Source organism: Homo sapiens, chromosome 3 (assembly GCF_000001405.40).
Source record: "Homo sapiens chromosome 3, GRCh38.p14 Primary Assembly".
NCBI lineage: Eukaryota > Metazoa > Chordata > Mammalia > Primates > Hominidae > Homo > Homo sapiens.
Genome location: NC_000003.12, coordinates 134931791 through 134951031, shown reverse-complemented (window position 1 = coordinate 134951031; position 19241 = coordinate 134931791). Strand labels below are relative to the sequence as shown.

At 44.9% G+C, this 19241-nt stretch overlaps 1 protein-coding gene across 1 annotated transcript in view, besides 1 other annotated feature; it reads right to left on the bottom strand.

Annotated features, from left to right (window-relative positions):
- Positions 1-19241, bottom strand: part of EPHB1 (EPH receptor B1) — a 465208-nt gene that overhangs the window by 309436 nt on the left and 136531 nt on the right. The window lies entirely within an intron of this gene.
- Positions 8670-9355: an enhancer, noted in NCBI's record as "OCT4-NANOG hESC enhancer chr3:134660519-134661204 (GRCh37/hg19 assembly coordinates)". NCBI's record gives its function as "activates a minimal SCP1, AML or CMV promoter by ChIP-STARR-seq in primed H9 embryonic stem cells {active_cell/tissue: H9 hESC(primed)}" and the evidence as "EXISTENCE:reporter gene assay evidence [ECO:0000049][PMID:30033119]".

The following is a 19241-nucleotide window of genomic DNA, read 5'->3' as shown; positions in this document are numbered from 1 at the left end:
TCCTCACTTCCACAGTACCTGCTCTAAAAGCCAATCTGTGGATTGGGGGTCCAATTACTTGACATCCACACCTTGGAAATCCCCATCTTTGAACCTAATTTCTTTATTGTGGTGAAATTCCTTTATGTCTCTGAAAAGCACATGAATTTAAAGCTTTTCAGGGTTTCTCAACCAACTTAGATTCTCATAAACTTTTTTTCAATAACATCAATCTCTTTGAAAGACTGATATGGTTTGGATGTTTTTCCTTTCCGAATCTCATGTTGAAATGTGATTCCCAATGTTGGAGGTGGGGCCTGGTGGGAGGTGATTTGATTATGGGGGCAGATCCTTCATGAACGGTTTAGCACCATCCCTTTGGTGATGAGTGAGATTTGACTGTTTAAAAGAATCTGGGAGCTCCCCCTTCTCTCTCTCTTGCTCCATCTCTCACCATGTGACATGCTGGCTCCCCTGGCCTGCCATGAGTGGAAGCTTCCTGAGGCCCTCAGCAGAAGTAGATGCTGGCACTATGCTTCATGTTCAGCCTGCAGAACTATGAACAAGTTAAACCTCTTTTCTTTATAAATTACTCAGCTCAGTTGTTTCTTTATAGCAATGCAAGAGTGGACTAATGCAAAGACCTAGACTATAAAACTGGTAAAAGTGGAGGCTGCTAAGAAGAACCCTTAATGAAGCAAATGAAGCTCTATTGTGTGCAAATTTCAAGCAAGGCTATGATGGAGGAAAATGCTGGAGGGTGTTACTTTAGTGAATAATGAAACTTTCTTAAGGGAAAGACAATCATGATTCACATTAGAAAAGTGAGCTCCCATTTATAGCAGTCCTGTAGATTGGAATAAAAGAGAAGAACAACACATGTATTAAGTGATGTCTTTCACTATTCCCAGCAACTTTCAGAACCAGGTATTATTATCCCCAATTTACAGATGAAAAGACATCATGCAACTCACCCATGCTTATATGGCTAAAAGAGATTATGAGAGAAGCTAGTAAGAAATACTTTGAATGGTCAAAGAAAATCACCTAAGAACTTCTAGAAGATTATTTCAATAACAGGCAATGAGGGTTGGAGGGGAGTCAGGAGGGGTCTTTATAGGCATGGTTCCCTTAACTGAGCTCTCTAGGGCAGGGGTCAAAGAAGAGTTGCTGGGTCATTCTTTCTTCCTTGTGCTTGGAGAAAAGGAGTTAAGGAAGAAGCTGCCCACAGCTGGGAGCTCTCCAGATCCTGGTCTCAAGAACGGAGGATATTTCCAGGAATAAATTTAAACTTATATTCTGTTTGCCTAGAATTAAAAAAAATAGAGAAAAGAAATTAAACTTCCTAAAGTGAAAATGAATTAAGATCCTTGACTATTTAGGAGTGGTGATCAAGGTAACCAAATCATACCAGTATCTTTGAATATTATGCTAATTATTTACAGTGGTGGACTTTAAATATATAGACTAGAATTCTTCATTAACAGAGCTAAAAGCCAATTATGTGTGCATGGAAAATATACTGCAATTGCTCCTTGCAAGGAGTAAAGCCCCCTGTGGAGGCAAGTGGATAGAAGCAAGGCTGTCCTCTAAACCTGAGTGAAGGAAACCAAAAAACAGGCATAGTGTGGAGAGGTGGGGAAATGGGCACATTGAGAGCTGGCCCTGCATGCCCAGGTCTGTAAAGTGACGTCACTCATGGTCACTCCTTCTGTCTGGGCCTCTGCCACCAAGGCATCTAAACTGCAGTTAATCCAGGGTCCTCCTGGACCCCAGACTCCCAGGACTCCTAGAGTGCCAGTTCCCTCACCAACTTGAAGTCCTGCCAGTCCCTCACCAACAGATCAGCTCCTGCCAGTATCCTTGCAGCAGTTCCGGGACACACAGGCCATCATGATTCACTATCCTGGATAGTCTCAGCACCAGGCCAAATATCACCCAGCGCTCCACCTTTCAAGTTGGAGCACTTGACCTCCAACCACACCATTCATGACCCACCAGCATCTCTCCCTGCTCCACTCTACTTTCTGCAATGCCAAAGACTAACATCCCCAAACTCACAACTCTGTCTCCCAGTTCCAGGCCTGTTCTTATGCTGTGCTTTCTACCTAGGATGGCTTTTTGTTCTTCTTTGCCTGAGTTACTCCAGCTCTGGAAAATCCCCTCACTTAATTAGATAGCATATCATAGCATATTAGTCCATCCTCCACGCAACAGGTAAGAACCTGTGCACACTGGCCCTGGGGCACCTACCTCCCCAAGGAGTCAGTGAGCCCTGAGGGGGCTGCAGCACATCGCTGGAGTGGCGCATCCACAGTCCACACAGCTCCTTCACAGCATGCCTTGTGCCCAGCACATGGACATCCCTGTGCCCAGGCCCCACCATGTGGCCAACACGGAAGAGATGTCTCACCTCTGTGGCCTGCATGGAGTATAAATTCACACTGTCGAGCCTCACCTGGACTTTGCCTAATTCCTTATTGATTCTCTAGATGTAAAAGAACCACTTTTTCTGCCTTCTTGAACACTGTGTTTTGTTCTATCAAATGTGTTTATTAAAGTTACGTTCTGCTTGCCTATTTTTTTTTTCAGCCATGGAGAAGTCACTGACAATGTTTCAGATCAAATTTTTAGACCTCCCTCCCTTTCCATGGCTGTTATAAAACAGCATTTTCTCAGTTGACCCTACATGACTTGAGGAAAGGAAATTTTTTTTTTTTTTTACTGTTCTGCTATTGTTGAAACACAACAGTCTCATGATCCATTATTCCAGTTGGGTCTCAGTACACACATGGGGCCCCTCTGTCAATGTACAGGTGAAGCATGTGACCCCATTTAGAGTGGGGGTCTGGTCACAGCCAGAGTTCTTGACACACCCAAGACTAAAGGAGCTCTGATGTGGGCTTCACCTTAGCACTGAGACAGTCACCACCAGGAGGTATTTAAATAAGCAAAATGAGGCCAGGTGCAATGGCTTATGCCTATAATTCTAGCACTTTGGAAGGGTGAGGTGGGAGGATGGCTTGAGCCCAGGACTCAAGACCAGAATGGGTGACACAGAGAGACCCCATCTCTACAAAAATAAAAATAATAAATTAACCAAGATTGGTGGCTTGTGCCTGTAGAACCAGCTATTCAGGAGGCTGAAGTGGGCGGATTGCTTGAGCCCAGGAGGGGCTGCAGTAAGCCATGCTCGCACCACTGTACTCCAGCCTGGGTGACAGAGCAAGACTCTGTCTCAAAAAAATAAAATAAAATAAGCAGCATGAGGATTTCTACTCTCCTATGGGAGCTGAGATATTGAGAAAATTTATCTTAGAAAATGACACTGATTGGTATTATAAGACCCAGCAGAAGTAATTGTTTCAAACATTAACCTCTCTGGGCCTCAGTTTTCTCATCTGTAAAATGAGAAATCACAATGGGTGACCCTGAGTTGTAAAATTCTACAGATCTAATTGATTCCATGACAGCTCCTAAGGGAGTGATCAAAGCAAATGAGAGGAAATTCAGCTGCATATTCAAAGGGAAAGAGTAGAAGCAAATTGAGAGAAAGGAAAATAACTCCCTGTTGTTGGGAAAAGGCCATCATAGAGCTTCCCATTAATTTCTTTCCCTCTTTCATTCTTCTGTCAGTGAAAGCTCTGTAGGGGTTGAAGAAATAAGTGATCAGAGTGGGCTTCAGGAGGCACATATACTTTCCACAGCAAGTGGTAATTAGAACTGGGGGGGTCGAAGAAAGAGGAGATGTTGGTTAATCGAGATGAGGGTAGAATGGCATTCCCAACAGAGAGAGACAAACATATACTTCATTTACAATATTTGGAATCAGTCTCATTGCTTTATATTTATACCTCATTCATTCATCAATGAAAAAAAAATGTCTACTGAATGTTAGGTTTGTGCCAGGCGCCATTAGCCACTGGGGATATAACAATATGAAGCTTATAATCTAGTGAGAGAAACAGAAATTAGAAAATGGTTACTAAAATAACTAAATAATTACATTTGTGTTAACTGCTGTGAGGGAAAATTACAGGGAGCCAAGCACGGGGGTGCAACGGATATATGAAGATTGTCAGGAAAGACCCTCTGTATGAGTCCATTTTGTGTTGCTATAAAGGAATACCTGAGGCTGGGTAATTTATAAAGAAAAGAGGTTTATCTGGTTTATAGTTCTGCAGCCTGTACAAGAAGCATGGCACCACAATCTACTTCTGGTGAGGCCTCAGGAAGTTTCCAATCATGGAGGAAGGTGGAGGAGCAGGCATGTCACATGGTGAGAGAGGGAGCAAGAGAGATGCCAGGTTCTTTTAAACCACCAGCTCCTGTGTGAACTAATAGAGTGAGACTCACTCATTACCATAAGGAGACCATCAAGCCATTCATGAGGGATCCCCTGCCATGACCCAAACACCTCCTGCTAGGTGCCACCTCCAACATTGGAGAGCATGCTTTAATATGAGATTGGGAGGGGACAAACATCCAAACAATATCACCCTCCAAGCTGAGAGGGGACAGGTAGATAGAAGTAAGCCAGGAGAAGTATGCACCTTCTGGGAGCAGAATAGGAGCAGAGCCTCTGGGCCAAACAAAGGCAGGTACAAAGGCCTCATGATAGGAAAAGTGGCCTGGTGCCATTGAGGAATGAAGGCTGTGTGACAGACAGCCATAAGAAGCTGGGGGTGGCAGGAACAGGACTGAGAGGAAGATGAATCCAGTTGAGAATTTTGAACTTCATCCTGAGTGTAACTAGAAGTCGCTGATGAGTTAGGGAGAAAAAAACACAGGCGATCAGAGCCGAGCTTTTAAAAGCTCTCTCTGACGCACTACAGAGACAGGTTTTGAGAGCAGCCTGAGTGTATGGGCAGGACAACTGGAGTTCATTGTGGGTGCCCAGGCAAGAGATGGTAGGTTGGAACAGACCAGCAAAAACTGGAACGATGCTTTAGGGGAGAATCTCTAGACCTTCACTGAGCCACAGACTCAAGGGGCCATGTGTCCCCTGAACACTCTTTCAGGTATCAGTCCTGCCTCGCCAACAAGGCTTTGGGCTTCCCAGATCCTTAGGAATGATGATTACTCACCTCTTCCCTCTCTCTTTTCTTAAAAAAGGGGGAATTTTACCAGTCTTGCATGCACTACACTGTAGATGCCCAATTTCCTATTCAGGGCCAAATTTCTTTTACCCAAAGCCTGTGCTGGTTCTAGTTCTGGCAATGTGTTCTCACTGCCTGCCCGAAAGTCAGTTTCCTAAAGATCTTCCATTCAATGGCTGCTTCTTAGCCTCCACTTCTAGGCATTTGACATATTGCTTCTTGTATTCCTTCCTGTAATTATCTCCTCCCATTAAAACAACAGCAAAACACCATGATTTGCTTATCAGATTTGCAGAAAATTAAAAAGATAAAATGTCAAGTCTTGGTAAGAAGGTGGGAAAAAGAGCACTGCCCAAGCCTATTGATGGAAGTATAAACTGGTGAAATCTTCTAGAAATCAATTCAGTAGCTTCTCCCAATACTTCAAGTGTGGGCCAAAACTGAAATCAATATGAAGAAGGTAAATCATTTTAAAAATTGTAGTGATAACTAGGTGCCCATCTGGAAAAAAAAGAAAACATAACTTTTGTTCCATACTTATACCTTACTCCAGAATAAATTTCTGGTGAACCCAAGATTTAAACATTAAAAATGAAACTACAAAGATACTAAAAGAAACCATGGAGAAAATTTTTGTATACTAATTGTGATATGAAACTCAGAAGCCATAAATAAACATATTGATAAATTCATCTCTATACAATTTTAAAAATTGGCATGACAGAAATAGCCATGAGCAAATTTAAAAGGGAGGAAAAAAGAAAACCTGATAGAAAAAAAGTATTTGTTACTTACCACAGATAAAGTGTTAATATCCCCTAATATATAAAGAGAATCCATAAGTCAATAACAAGATAGAAAATTGGGCAAAGGGTATCAACAAACTGTTCACTAAAAAAGACATAGATATAACTCTTAAATATATGAAAAGATGCTGAATCTCACTCTTCATAAAGTGTGAGTTGTTAATTAGCCACATTATGATACTTTTTGGGGGATGTCAAAGAACAAAAGTGTGATAGCACACTGTGTTGGACAGGACATAGGAGATAAGAATTCTGACACACAAATGGAAGAAAAGGAAATTTGTACAACTTCTATGGAAATTTTGGTTTTATTTATCAAAATTATGACTACATACACCCTTTGACCCAGCAATTCCACTTCAAGGATAATTTCTGACTTTTATCTACGTGAAATTAGGTACACACAAAGTTATCAACTGCAGCCACCACCACCTCCAGAGCTTTATTCATATCCAGAAAACCTACAGGTGGACCACTGGCCTTTGGACAATACAGTAGCCTTCTCAGAATTTGCTGAGTAAGACCTCTGGAAGCATAGTCCTAGTGGAAAGAGAAACCATTAATTGAGATTGAACTTCTCACCAACCAGTGGTATAGGGGACTCAGAAGAATCTGAAATAATTAGACTAAAAGAAAATAAGGTATAGGACATTTCTCATACATCTTTATATGAGGAGTAAGCTTCATACTTGCCTCATGCTAACCTGACTGTTGTCCTCCTTTCTTGGACTGGACTCAGCTGGACTCTTTAATATGTCACCTAAGACCCTTTGTTGTCAAGTGGTGAGTGCATAAACAAAATCTGATGTGCCCATACAATGGAATACTATTCCAAAATAAAAAAGAATGAAGTACTAGTACGTACGGCAACATGATGAATCTCTAAAACATTATGCTAAGTGAGGAAAGCTGTGTGTCTCAAAAGACCACATATTTTGTGATTCTATACACATGAAATGTTCAGAAGAGGCAAATCTACAGACAGAGAGGTATGTTAGTATTTGCCTGGGGCCATAGAGGGAAATGGGGAGCGACTACAAACTGGCATAAAGAATCTTTTTAGGAGTGATAAAAATGTTCTAAAATGAGATTGTGGTGATGGGTTACAAATTCTGTAAGTTTACAAAAAAATTACTGAATTGATTAAAACTTTAATACACTTAAAATGAGTGAATTTATTGCAGGTAAATAATACCTTAATATAGCTTTAAAATAAAACCCCTCTGTTATCTGGTCCAGCCCACACCTCAGTATCCCAACAATGCTCGCACGGTCTCCATTATCCACACGTAGCTTGTTCATGGTGACTTATGCCCCTTCTCATTCTATCATCTGTACCTTGGATGACCTTCTTACCCCTTTATCCCTGTATCCCAAGTGCCAATCATTCATTCAATCAAACATGTTATGAATGATGCCTAAGTTGAGGCAAAGGTGGCATCTAGAGGGGCTAGGAGGCCAAGGAAGCATCCCTATCACTGATACTGAGGACCTGGGGAGTATCAGGGTGTGGTCCAAAGTCAGCATCAGAATCTTGGGCTCAGGACCCCATTCCAGGACCACTAGATTTTCCAACCTGGAGGTCAGTCGGGTATTCAAAAGGCCAAAAATGCTCCCCAAGTTCAACACACCCACTTCATCACCACAATGTGCCATTTCTTCCAGAACCATCCATATCCCCCCATCTGGCCTGTCTCTTGCATTCCTATGACCAGTGCACTAGGGCTGGCATCACCTCATGCCCTGGTCGGAATATAGTGACAACAGACAGGGCAAGAGATGTCAAGGGCCCAAAGCAGGGCCATATCCTCTCATAACTGGACAACAGAGCCCATGCCCATTTCTGCCCCTCGATGTTGTTGCTGATGTTCTGACTGACCCTGATGCCCTTCTTTTACCTCACCCTCATCCCATCTGAACTGAGCTAGAGAAAGGCAGATGTGGCTTGGAAACCACTCTAGACCATGTTGGTCATGACGTTTTGTTGACAAATGGGCAGAGTGAGGCCCAGAGACATTCAATACCAGGCCCAAAGTCAGGTGGTGGATCCATGGCAGGGCTGGATTCTCTTTGCAGATCCTTCCTTCGAGGTGGCTCCAGTCTTATTTCCTCCATAATCCTTTCCCTGGCTTAGATTTATCTGCCATTTTTCTGAATGCATAAAGCATGATTGAGTTTATTCCACGCAATTTAGCATTTGATAATATACTGTTTTGAAATATTATTTAATTGCTTCACTTGTGTGACTTTGGTTTCTGCTACCAGGCTGTGAGCTCCTTCAGGACAGTAAATTAAACTTTGACTAATTTATTAGTTCATTTCAACAAGAAAAATAATTCCATGCATTTAGCTTCACAACACTGGAATTATGGAACACCATTTTATTCAGTAACATCTGGGACCAGTGAAATCCACTCCATTTTCATCTCACTTTTTATCCTAGGTGATCTCATCCATATACAAGGCTTCGACCACCATGGAGTGCATCACCAACTTGACCTCTCCCCAATACCCCAGACTTGTATATTCTGCTGCCTGCTGGATGCCTCCTGATAAATAACCGGGATGCACCACCTTGCCCTTTGCAGCCCTGATGCAGTCTCACCTCTGTCTGAGAATGACACCTCAACCACCCAGTACCAGATGACTAGGAAGCACTCTAGACTCTGCCCTCTCCATTTTGTTTTGTTTTGCTCCTCATCATAGGAGGTTAACCCCCAAATTCTATGTCTCCTATCTCCATAGCTCTTCTATTCAGCCCTCCCCTTCTGTTTCGTCATTGAATTCTCTTTACCCTCCAAGTAACTCTCCCAGTCATTCTCCTTAATTCCCCTGCTCGTATGAGTTTTCTAAAATACAAATCCATCTCCCATATGAACCCAATCCTACAGGCTGGGACTGTGTTGGGTATTGCTCCATATTCCCAGTGCCAAGCCCTCAAAATATCCTGGAAGACTGAGGCAATGAGCAGAGCCCCGGCCTATTCTTTAACTTCTCTCCCTTCTTTACTGCAGGTGCCACCAGGCTAACCTGTCTTTGTGAAAGAAGAAACAAATCAACCTTGCACAACCAACAGATTATTAACTGCCTTTGAAAGAGCACTATTTTGACACAAATGGATCACCTGTCCTTGAGATAAGCATAATAAAGGAAACAGTGACATCCATTAGAAAGTACTTGTTCAGGCTTTCAGATCATGACTTTGATGTATGAGAAAGACACTTTCAGGTCTCTCCAAGATCTAGGTTTGTTAGGCTTGCTTATTGGAAGTCAGAGCTTGCAGTTCTATTGCTAGAGTGCCTGTTGACATTTGGACAGTGCATATTGACTCTCTGCAGTCTGGCTGATTGTGTGTGTGTGTGTGTGTGTGTGTGTGTGTGTGTGTGTGTGTGTGTCTGTGTGCATATGTAAAGCATGCTATCAAAACTCATTTATCTGTAAAAACTGTTCCCCTTTCAAAATCATTGTCATGGGCTCTACTCATTGGTCCATCTACACTACCTTCTAGAAAAACCTTCAGAAACTCTGACACATTCTTTATGCCCCAAGAGTGGATTTGAATTTCAGAAACAGGCAAAAGTCATTTGGAACCAAGTCTGATTAGTGAGATGGATGAGCAAACTAAGAAATAATATTACTGGTCAAAATGAAGAGCCACTATAAAATGAAGGTGAGAGATTTGAGCTGATTCCACTCTGTGCCTCTAAAGACAGTTCCAAGCACAGAATTCTGGAAAGATGTTTGATAGTTGGCCCCTCCCTGGACTGATGCAATGTCCCCCACCCCACACAGGCAAAGATCATTTGGAACCAAGTCTGATTAGTGAGATGGTTGAGCAAACTAAGAAATAATATTACTGGTCAAAATGAAGAGCCACTATAAAATGAAGGTGAGAGATTTGAGCTGATTCCACTCTGTGCCTCTGAAGACAATTCCAAGCACAGAATTCTGGAAAGATGTTTGATAGTTGGCCCCTCCCTGGACTGATGCAATGTCCCCCACCCCACACCAGGCCCGCTCCTCTAAGAATGCCCAATGACTATCATGATGCTGCATCATTATAACCTCCATGAATAAACCATTTCTACAGGGCCTGGCTGGAAAGGGGCACTTCCTCTGGACACCTTTATTTAAGACAGGAATAGAAATAATTGAAATAGGCTTTTTGGCCTCTGTTGACCTAATACGATCCCAGCTATTCTGATTTGTTTCAAACCCAGCTCATTTATCTCATTTATTTAATAAAGAGTCAAACATCTACTACAGCAGCCCCAAGCAACATTCTAGGAGTTGGTGAAACAGCAGTAAATGAGAGACAAAATCCCTGTCCGCATGGACCTTATATTCCACTAGAGTTAACCAAAGCATGAACAAACAAACAAATGAATAATATAAAGTCAGGTAGCATTAACAACTACTAAGAAGCAGGAAAGGAAATAGAGTGACAGCTGGCAGTGGGGTAATCAGGGAAGATCTCCCTTTGAGCTGAGATCTGAATGAAACACAGGAGCTAGCCTGGAGGGTACACGAAGGAGGAGCATCCCAGGCACAGAGGGCAACCAGAACAAGTTCCCCAGGGCAAGAAGGTGCCTGGCCCATTGCTGAGAAAGCCAAGATGCCAGTGTGGCTACAGAAGTTTAAACAGCAAGAGAAACACTGAAAGATATGAAGCTGGAGAGGTTGCCAGGGCAGGCAGACCCCACCTCTGCCAGTTACAGCTCTGTGATCACAGACAACTTTCTGAGCTTCAGTTTCCTCACTCGCAAAATACTATTTACTTTGCAGGGTAATACGAAGACTGAAAGATCATGGATGTGGAAGGAGCTCATCTAGTGCTGTGCCTGCACATAACTACCATTCACTGAGTACCAATTATTAACATTATTATTATGATCATCATCATCGTGATTATGTTAACCTCAGGATCCACCTCCAGCTGAGTCACCAGGGTGTGGAAATCATCTAGATCCTATATAAATAATCCTACCCTTTGGTCAGCAGAATGCAGGAACTAAAAGGCTAAACTCCCTCTCCTTACAGACACAGAGAAACAACCAGCAGTCCCCTTCCCTTTCCCTCTGGGAATCTCCAGGGCTTCCTCTGAGCTGTTTCATCATAGGCTCTCTTCTCTTGAGCCAGCAATCCCTGGACCACTGTCAGCCACCAGCTCAGACCACAAGGAGACAAAATTGGACACATCTTACAGGCTCTGGTCCCATTCAGCAGTCTGTTTTTGGGCACAAACTGCTGTTGAGGGAGGCTGCTATTTTGCAAACAGTTGCTGCCACCATGTCCTGTGGGACCATAATGGAGCTTTCTTGGCATTGCCCAATCCGGGGAGATGGCTGCCCCTGTGAACAAGAAGCCCACTGGAGCCTGGGCAGCACACAACTTCACAGAGCCCACAGGAGGCCAAAGATTCTTCAGGGCAGCAGATGCTCAGGGCTGGGCTGGAGCCACCACTACCAAGCCTTCCCCACCAATCAGCCTGGACCCCAAGGACAAAGCTCCCGTGTAGACAGTAGACTAAGCCTGAAAAAGCTTGGATATTAGACAAGCTAGAGGGCTAATTAAAATGTAAAATGCAGTCCGTGGGGCATAAATTCCTACAAGCCCAGAGGGATCTACCATTTACTACACCAACCAACCAAGGCAGGGATTTACTCAAAGGCTCCCCTGAGGGCTGTGAGCACCAGCTTACCTTCCAATATGCTTGATTTACGTCCCAGATGTGCTGGGCTGAGAGGACAGGAATGCCACCCCCCCACCCCCCATTCATTACCATGGCCTGATGTGGTATTCCATTTGAGAAAGGTGACCGACTCAGGGTTGGAGACTGCTTCTGAAAGCCCAGTGCCTTGGAAGGGCTTCCATATTGTAGCAGTACAAAGCAATGAATTCCCTAAACTGTGAACTCACAGCAAAGATGCCTTCCTGGAAATGCATCACAGCAAGGGGATGGGGGTGAGGGACATAACTGGAATATCACAAACATATACATATTGTTTCCCAATGCAATATTTAAGAGCAGAGCTCCACAAAATCTTGGATGGTAGAGAAATGCAGATAATACTGTAACAAGGTCAAGGTGGAGAAAGTGGCTTCAAGCAGAGTATATTCAGATTGCTAGGAAGGAGGTTTTTGTGATGATCAAAAAAGGGGTGGGGGTTTAAGAACAGCACTGCTCTAACCTTGCCCAACCCATAATCATGCGGATCCCCAGCTTAGCCCGGGGTAAGTTCATAGGCTCTGGAGTCCGCCAGACCCAGCTGTGTGACCATGGGCAAGTCTTTAAACTTCTCTGAGCCTCGACTTCCTCCTCTGCAATACAGGGATAGTACCTAATAGTACCTATCTCGTGAGGCAATTGTGAGGATTAAACATGACTTAAGCTTGCAAGGTAATTAAACCCCAGTAAGAGCCCCTTGTGAGCCAGTTATCATGAATAGCTACCCTCTGGGGACACACACTTAGCCTCTCTCTGAGTGCACATCAGTTATTTTTTTCTTGGAATTCCACTCTCCCTCCATGATGTGTATGCTCTATGACTCTTCTGTCTGTCTGTCAGCACCTGTGCATCTATCATTGATATATGCGTGCTTGGGCGTGTGTGTGTAAGTGCAGGCAGCTGAGGTGTTGGCCATGGCCCTCCCTTGGGTATGCCTACCATCGGAAGGCCCTGTGAGCGCTGGTTAGCTCAGGTCCAGCCACACTACTAGAGGGCAAGGCCAGCAGGGCACGAGCTCTGAAGGGCACACACCTCTTTATACTCCGGCATATTTCACACCCAGGTTTCTACCAGCATGTTAGGGAAAATACTGCAGGCTTGGGTCTGGGCAGGGGGCTCCCTATCTATACACCCCTGGGGCACTGTAACCTCCACCAGGCAGCAGCATTGCGTACCAGGCCCTGCCTGGAGTGGGGTCCTCAGCCATTATGACAGCTGCTGCTGCTGTTGACACTGCAACAGTGACAAATTCATCCTTCTGACAAGATCTCTTTAAATAATTCACAGGGAGTTAGGGATTAAGACACTGTTTCTCTCTGTCTCTGTTGAGATTTAAAACACCTCCAGCTGGGGTATTTAAAGAGGGTATAATGGGCTGCCCCTCCTGGGTCTCTCCTCCCCCTTTCCTCCTTTCCCATTTCCCCAACTCATCGCCCACCCCACCAGCCAGCCCTATAACAAGGAGGTCCAGAAAACAAGAAAGGAGGAAAAAAAAAAAAAAAAAAAAGGAGGGAACCAGTGCTTGGCTGGTCACTATGGCAACGGCGGCAGGGTATTCAGCTGCCATTATTGCAGTGCCTCACACATGTGATTATCTTAAGCTGTCGATTGAATGTGGCTCTCACTGCTGCCCAACACGGCCTTGTAGAACAAGGCAGGGGTGGGAGCTGCAGGCCCCAGGCCCCAGCTGCTTGATACTGCTAAGCCCAGGCCTGGACTCCATTGACAGAGGAGCAGAGAGTCACCCCTGGGAGAGACTGATGGCATTTCCCTTCAGCTTGGCGGGATTTCTGCTCAGAATGTATAGCAGAGGCCAGCCTCAAGCTGGCCCATCATGCTGGGTTACAGGCTAAGGAAATGGGCTCCTCATTCCATGAGCTTGGGAAGTTTTGACTGAGCGTAAGCCATGCTGGCTGGGGCCAGCCAAAGCTGTCTTGGAAACAAGAGAGCCAGCCATGGGAGAAGGAAGGGGTGGGGCCTCTGGCAGGAGCTCTTGGCTTCGTTCCCATTCTTACAATGGAGGAAATTCCCAGTCTCTGGGTGAAAAAAAGCCACATCTGGCCTCAAGAGAGGACACCCCCACCACATTCTGTGTGTTCTCCCAATTGGGTGGGAATGTGGCCACCATGTGTGATCCACTTCAGGGACTGCTTTTTCCTGGGACTTTGGATGCTGGAGCTTGGTCCTAGGAAGCCCTGCAGAAAACTCTGCCTCCATTGAGAAAAAGTATTCCATTCCTTTGCCTCCTGGACTTGGCTTCCCAGGTGCAAGAATATTCTTTGAATGACAAGGTCCCTGGTTAACCCCAATAGACACACTCTAATTTTTCCAATGTCCCCTTTAAAATTCAGCTCCCACATTAAGCCTCTTATGACAGCTATGCTCAGGCCAGCAATGCACACAGTGGGGCTACCATTACCTTCAACTGGCACCAGGACTGCTCCAAATGGCAGACATCAGTCTGGCCTTCCCTGCATTTGCATCCCACGGTCAGCCCCGTGAAGATATGGCCAGTCATACACAGGTCCCCATCACTTGAAGCACTGCCTACCCCTGCCTTGTTACATAATGAACTGTTTGCACCTAAAGGCAAACACAGACCATTAACATTTGCCACATTTGTTTAAAGGCAAAGCTCTTGATCAGCAGATAAGTCAGAATCTTGACTCCTACATTTGTCATGTAGGCTGTCCTTCGTGACACTGGGAAATGTATTGGACATGCCTGTCTCCACCAGAAAGAGCAACAAGTGGGACAGCATGCAAGCATGCATGGAGATAAGGATGTGCCACGATGGGACCCCAGCCTCATTCTATTGTCAGAGCAGCATCTCAAATGGAGGGGGGGGCGCGTTCAGCCCCACTGACACTGAGGACAATGGATGGGACAAAGGAGCTCCCTGGAAACCCTCACAGCTCTCCCTGCCCTTCCCAGCAATTTTCACTTCCTGAACACTTGTCAGGACCTAGGGGGTGGGAAGGAATCCTCTTGGGCTCCTCCATCACTGCCCGGAGCCGGACATACACAGGGACCACCTGTATTCTCTTGAGGATCTCTGGCCAGGGCTCACCTGCTCCAGGCTCCTCTTTGACTTGCTGCTCTTTGGTCCCCCAACCCCACACTTCCCCAAACCACCTCCTCTACCTCCCCCATACAGCTTGCTTTAAACAATGATTTATCAGGTGCTTATCACGTGCACAACTCACTGGTTTGTTACTTTAAAAAGCTACCCTTTTTCTTTTTGAACATTTGCCCCTCCTCATTCCCACTCCTCCCCACCCCAGCTCCATTCTCTGGTTTCTCAACAGTCTGTGAGTCTGTGTTCCTCTCCTCACACTCCTTCAGGGGCAAAGATACAAAAGCGAGCTTTGTGGTTAGACAAGCCTGGGGTCAGTCTCAGCGGCACCCCCACCTAGTCCTGGAACTTTGGATAATAGCTCTTTGGAAATGGAACTTTGGAAATGGGAGAGATGCCACCTTCCTTCCTTGCAGGGTCCCAGTGAGAAGTGAGGTCATACAAGTAAAGCTTGATGCCTGGCACACAGTTGGTATGTAATTAATCGTGATGATTAGTGTAATAGTTATCATTATTAATAATAGCACTGCTATTAATAACAGGGTGTGCTCTCTGACATTGTTCATGTAAGAATCACAACCTATCATGTTGATCTTGTGTCTCCAGGGGCCCTCCTTCATCAGTTGCCACCCTCATCCCATACAAGTTAGGTCTTTCGAACAAGAGTCGTTGTTACCACTAGTACTAATCAGGGCAAGTGGTACTGCACTGAGTCTTACAGTTTACAAAGGTAAACACAATGTAATCCCAATCACTCTATATATAAGATCTTATATTACCTATGTTATAAAGGCAGCATATGGACTTAAAGAGGCTAAAGAACTTAGCAGAAAATGGAAATAAGCCCAGGACATCAGATCCCAAATCCTGGGCATGATCCTTCATACTATTGAAAGTATAGTGGGATTTTGGCCAACTTATTCTATAGCTTTTGCCCATAACTGGAAGTAAGGCCAAAGCCAACATCCCAGAGGCTCAGTTCCTCCTTCCTGGAACCAGGCTCATCTTTCTTCTGACAACCCTGACCCTCCCTTCTTCGCCTGTTTTCCTCCTGTTCGTCTTATCCTCACTCTCCTTCTAATGCTTTGTCTTTGCCAATAATATGTTTCTTTCCTTCACCAAGGTCACCAGTGGGAGTGCTGTGAGTTCAGGCTGTCAGGGCAATGCTGACCCTCCTCAGCTCCATCCCAGTGCCTTTGTCAGGAGCCCTGTGTCCTCTCCTGCCCTGGAGAGCCACTTGTCCTTCAATTTGATAAGTGCTGTCATCAATGAGTCAGTCCTCAGGCTCACATGCCAGTTGCATAAAGGTTTCCAAGACTGGGACAAGGGGTGTAGTGGGGCTACTGTCCTCTTGGGGAAGGTTTTAGAGACATGGAACTACACCTGTCTGGGCCAACAAGGGTTAAGCATTCCTCCAATAGGGAGAAGGTGGGCTTAGGTAACCTCTGGAATTCCCTCCCAGAGTCTGTGGACAGAAATGTCTCTGCTCTGTTGATGAATGAGTCTATGAGCCATTTCCAAGAGCAAGAAAATAAATATGCCAGACAGTAAGGATCTGGTGAACCACCACAACTCCCAAAGTTGTTTAATACAGCAAGCTAGGAAAGCTTCTCTCTCTCTCTCTTTCTCTCTCCCACTCCCCTCCCCCACCCATACCGCACACACACAAAGTCATATCCAATATATTTCTGCAATCAGTGTAATGATTGACATTCTACTGCACAACACGGGTCATCTGTGGCATTCTATTCACCTTTCTGTTAAATGCATACACATGCCCATAAAAACAGTCTCATAGGAAAGCACCATGAAGGCAACCACAAGCAATGGAGCCAGGCAGAGCAGTGGCCTTGCTGCTCATCTGGCCCAATTCTCCTCCCCTGGGGATCCATTGAGGTAGGTCCACCCACGCACGGCCCTGGAGTCTCTTCCCAGAGCAGCATCTGAATCTCGTGGCCACTGCCTTCCATCACTTGGAGGAGGGCCTGCTTCCTGGCTCTCACCCAAGGCCCTCAAGCCTTTGTCTATCACTGTCTCTGTCAGGCAGGTGATTTTAAACTTCCATTCCTAAAAGACGCGTATTATATAAAAAATGTTTTAAGTGCCTCGGGTGTTTTGTTCCTCATTGCTTCATAGAAGTGACATTAATAGCCAGGGAAGAGCTCTGCTGAGTGCAATTATGGAGGATGTTTCAGGTATGAAAGCTGTTTTGAGCCTGCTAATGTTTCCTAATTACAGGCCTTTTGGTAGAGAGAGAAAAAGATAAAGAGTGGGTGGGAGGCCTAGGGTGGGGAGCTCTGACTTATCTCAGTGGTTTACCTGAAGAGGGAATAGGAGGGGAGGGTATGAGGGAGGGAACAGGGAGGTCAGAGGCCCAACAGCAGGGAGGCTGGGCCTCTCGGTTGAGAAAGTGGTACTAATTCCTAGGAAACAGCTCAGAGAAAGGACACCACCCATGTCTCTTACCGTGAGAAAAAAGAAAACCTTTTGCAGACTGAGCCTGAATTCAAGGAGGCTTGGTCTGGGAGTTCCTTCTGGAACCCACTCTCTGAAGATACCACGATGGGTAGCATTTCACTGGGGAAGACAGTGGAGCATAATTGTTGGCAAGAGAGCCAGCATCCAGGAGGTTAAAGGTCAGCATTGGCACTTTTTCACCATGAGACCTTAGGCAATTTACCAGCTGCTCCGTGCTTTAGTTTCCTCATCTGTAAAATGGGGCTACTGTGAGGATTCATGTGTGCCTGGCTATAAGGCACTTAGGGTCTGTCATACAGTGATAGATTTTTTTTTTCCTACCTAGCATCTAGTCATCTTTCCGTTCCCTATATCCTGATTCCCTCTGTTACTCTCTCCTGCCTTTCTCCCTGGCCTTCCAGTAGGCTCTCCACAACACAGGAATGGACACGGTACCTCAGTGTCAATTTCCTCCCCAGGGGATGGTCCAGAGTGAGCATGAGAGGGATTCAAGCCAAGCCAGCCAGGCCCACTCAGAGCTAATTCCAGGGCTTTTACTGGGGGACCCAGGAGGAGATGTCTGATCTTCTCCAGGGCATACAGATGAAAAAGGCTATAGGGGCTGGGGCTGCTGCAGACAGACGTCTTAGGACCAAGAAGAACTCCAGCATGAAACCTACACTGTGGGAGTAGAGAGAGGAGAAAAAAGGATGGGAAGACAGAGAGAAAAGAGATAAAACAAGAGAGTGGGGAGGAGGGATCGATTGATAACCACCCAAACTTGAAGCCACACCAGCCCCTGGACCATTCAGTTTCATGAGCCAAGCTATCCTTCAAGAGTGGGTTTTGCTTTTCTGTCACTGGCCACCAAAAAGTCATGACAGATACTAAAGCATAGAATGAGAATAGCTTCCAGCAATCCGCGATCAGGTCCAAAGCTCCCAAGTCCCCATTCAGTGGTGCCTGTCTGAGAAATCATGGCCAACCCCACCTTCTTCTGCCCTCCTGCCTCTGGCATGTCCTGAAATTCAAATGTGGTGAAATTCCATTCACAAAACCATTTTGCCCAGAGCTAAATTTCTCTTGGATTTTTCTAATCTAGCTCAGGCTTTTCTGTCTTAATAAGCATGATTGAATCATTAAAGGGAGAAAACAGAAAATTCAGCCCTCCAGAGGGTTAGTGATGTGCTAACATTTCCTAAGTGTTTACCAAGGAAAACTTTTTACTGATATTGTTTCATATATGACAGAGTTATTATCCTTACCCCATTGAGCAGAAATGAAAACTGAGACTGAAGAAGTCTAAATAACAGACCCAAGATCACACAGGCAGGGAGTGCAGATCCAGAAAAATAGCCAGTTTATTTGATGCCAGGACCTGAGGCCTTAACTGCTTCTCCATAAAGGTCTTACCCATCAGACCAGATAAATCGTAATTGATTTTGTTCGGCTTTGGAATGGATGAGGTGTTATTAGAGTGGGTTTCTCTCCTGAGTGTGCTTTCCTGAGTCACTTGAGGTGGGCAGCTGGTGGGGGATCTGACAGGGACTGAGGAGACAGCCAGGGGCTGCCAAGTGGCCTAGACAGCGCACACATAAACAACCAAGCAGCAGCTGTGCATTCAGCCTGCGCACCGGCACTCATGGGCATGTAGCTCGTATCAGGAGTTAGTTTACCAAACATGGACATTCAGATACGTGTTGTTCCCTTCACAGAAGCCTGCTCTGGAAGCTCTCCATTCAGTCTAATAATCCTCCCGTTATTGAAAGTGTTTCCAGAACTCTAGAACTGCTTACTGAAGCACAGGGTGAGATCAGCTAATTTAACTTCATACATACACACACACACACACACACAAACACACACACATACAAGCATATGTGTGCAGACACACACATATATATACACATACATATATACATTCATATATATTCATACACATATATACAGATACACATATACACACATATACATATATACACTATATACATATGTACATGTATGCATATATACAGACACATAGCACATATATACATATGTACAAACATAGACACACATATATACATATATACAGACATATATACACATGTATATGT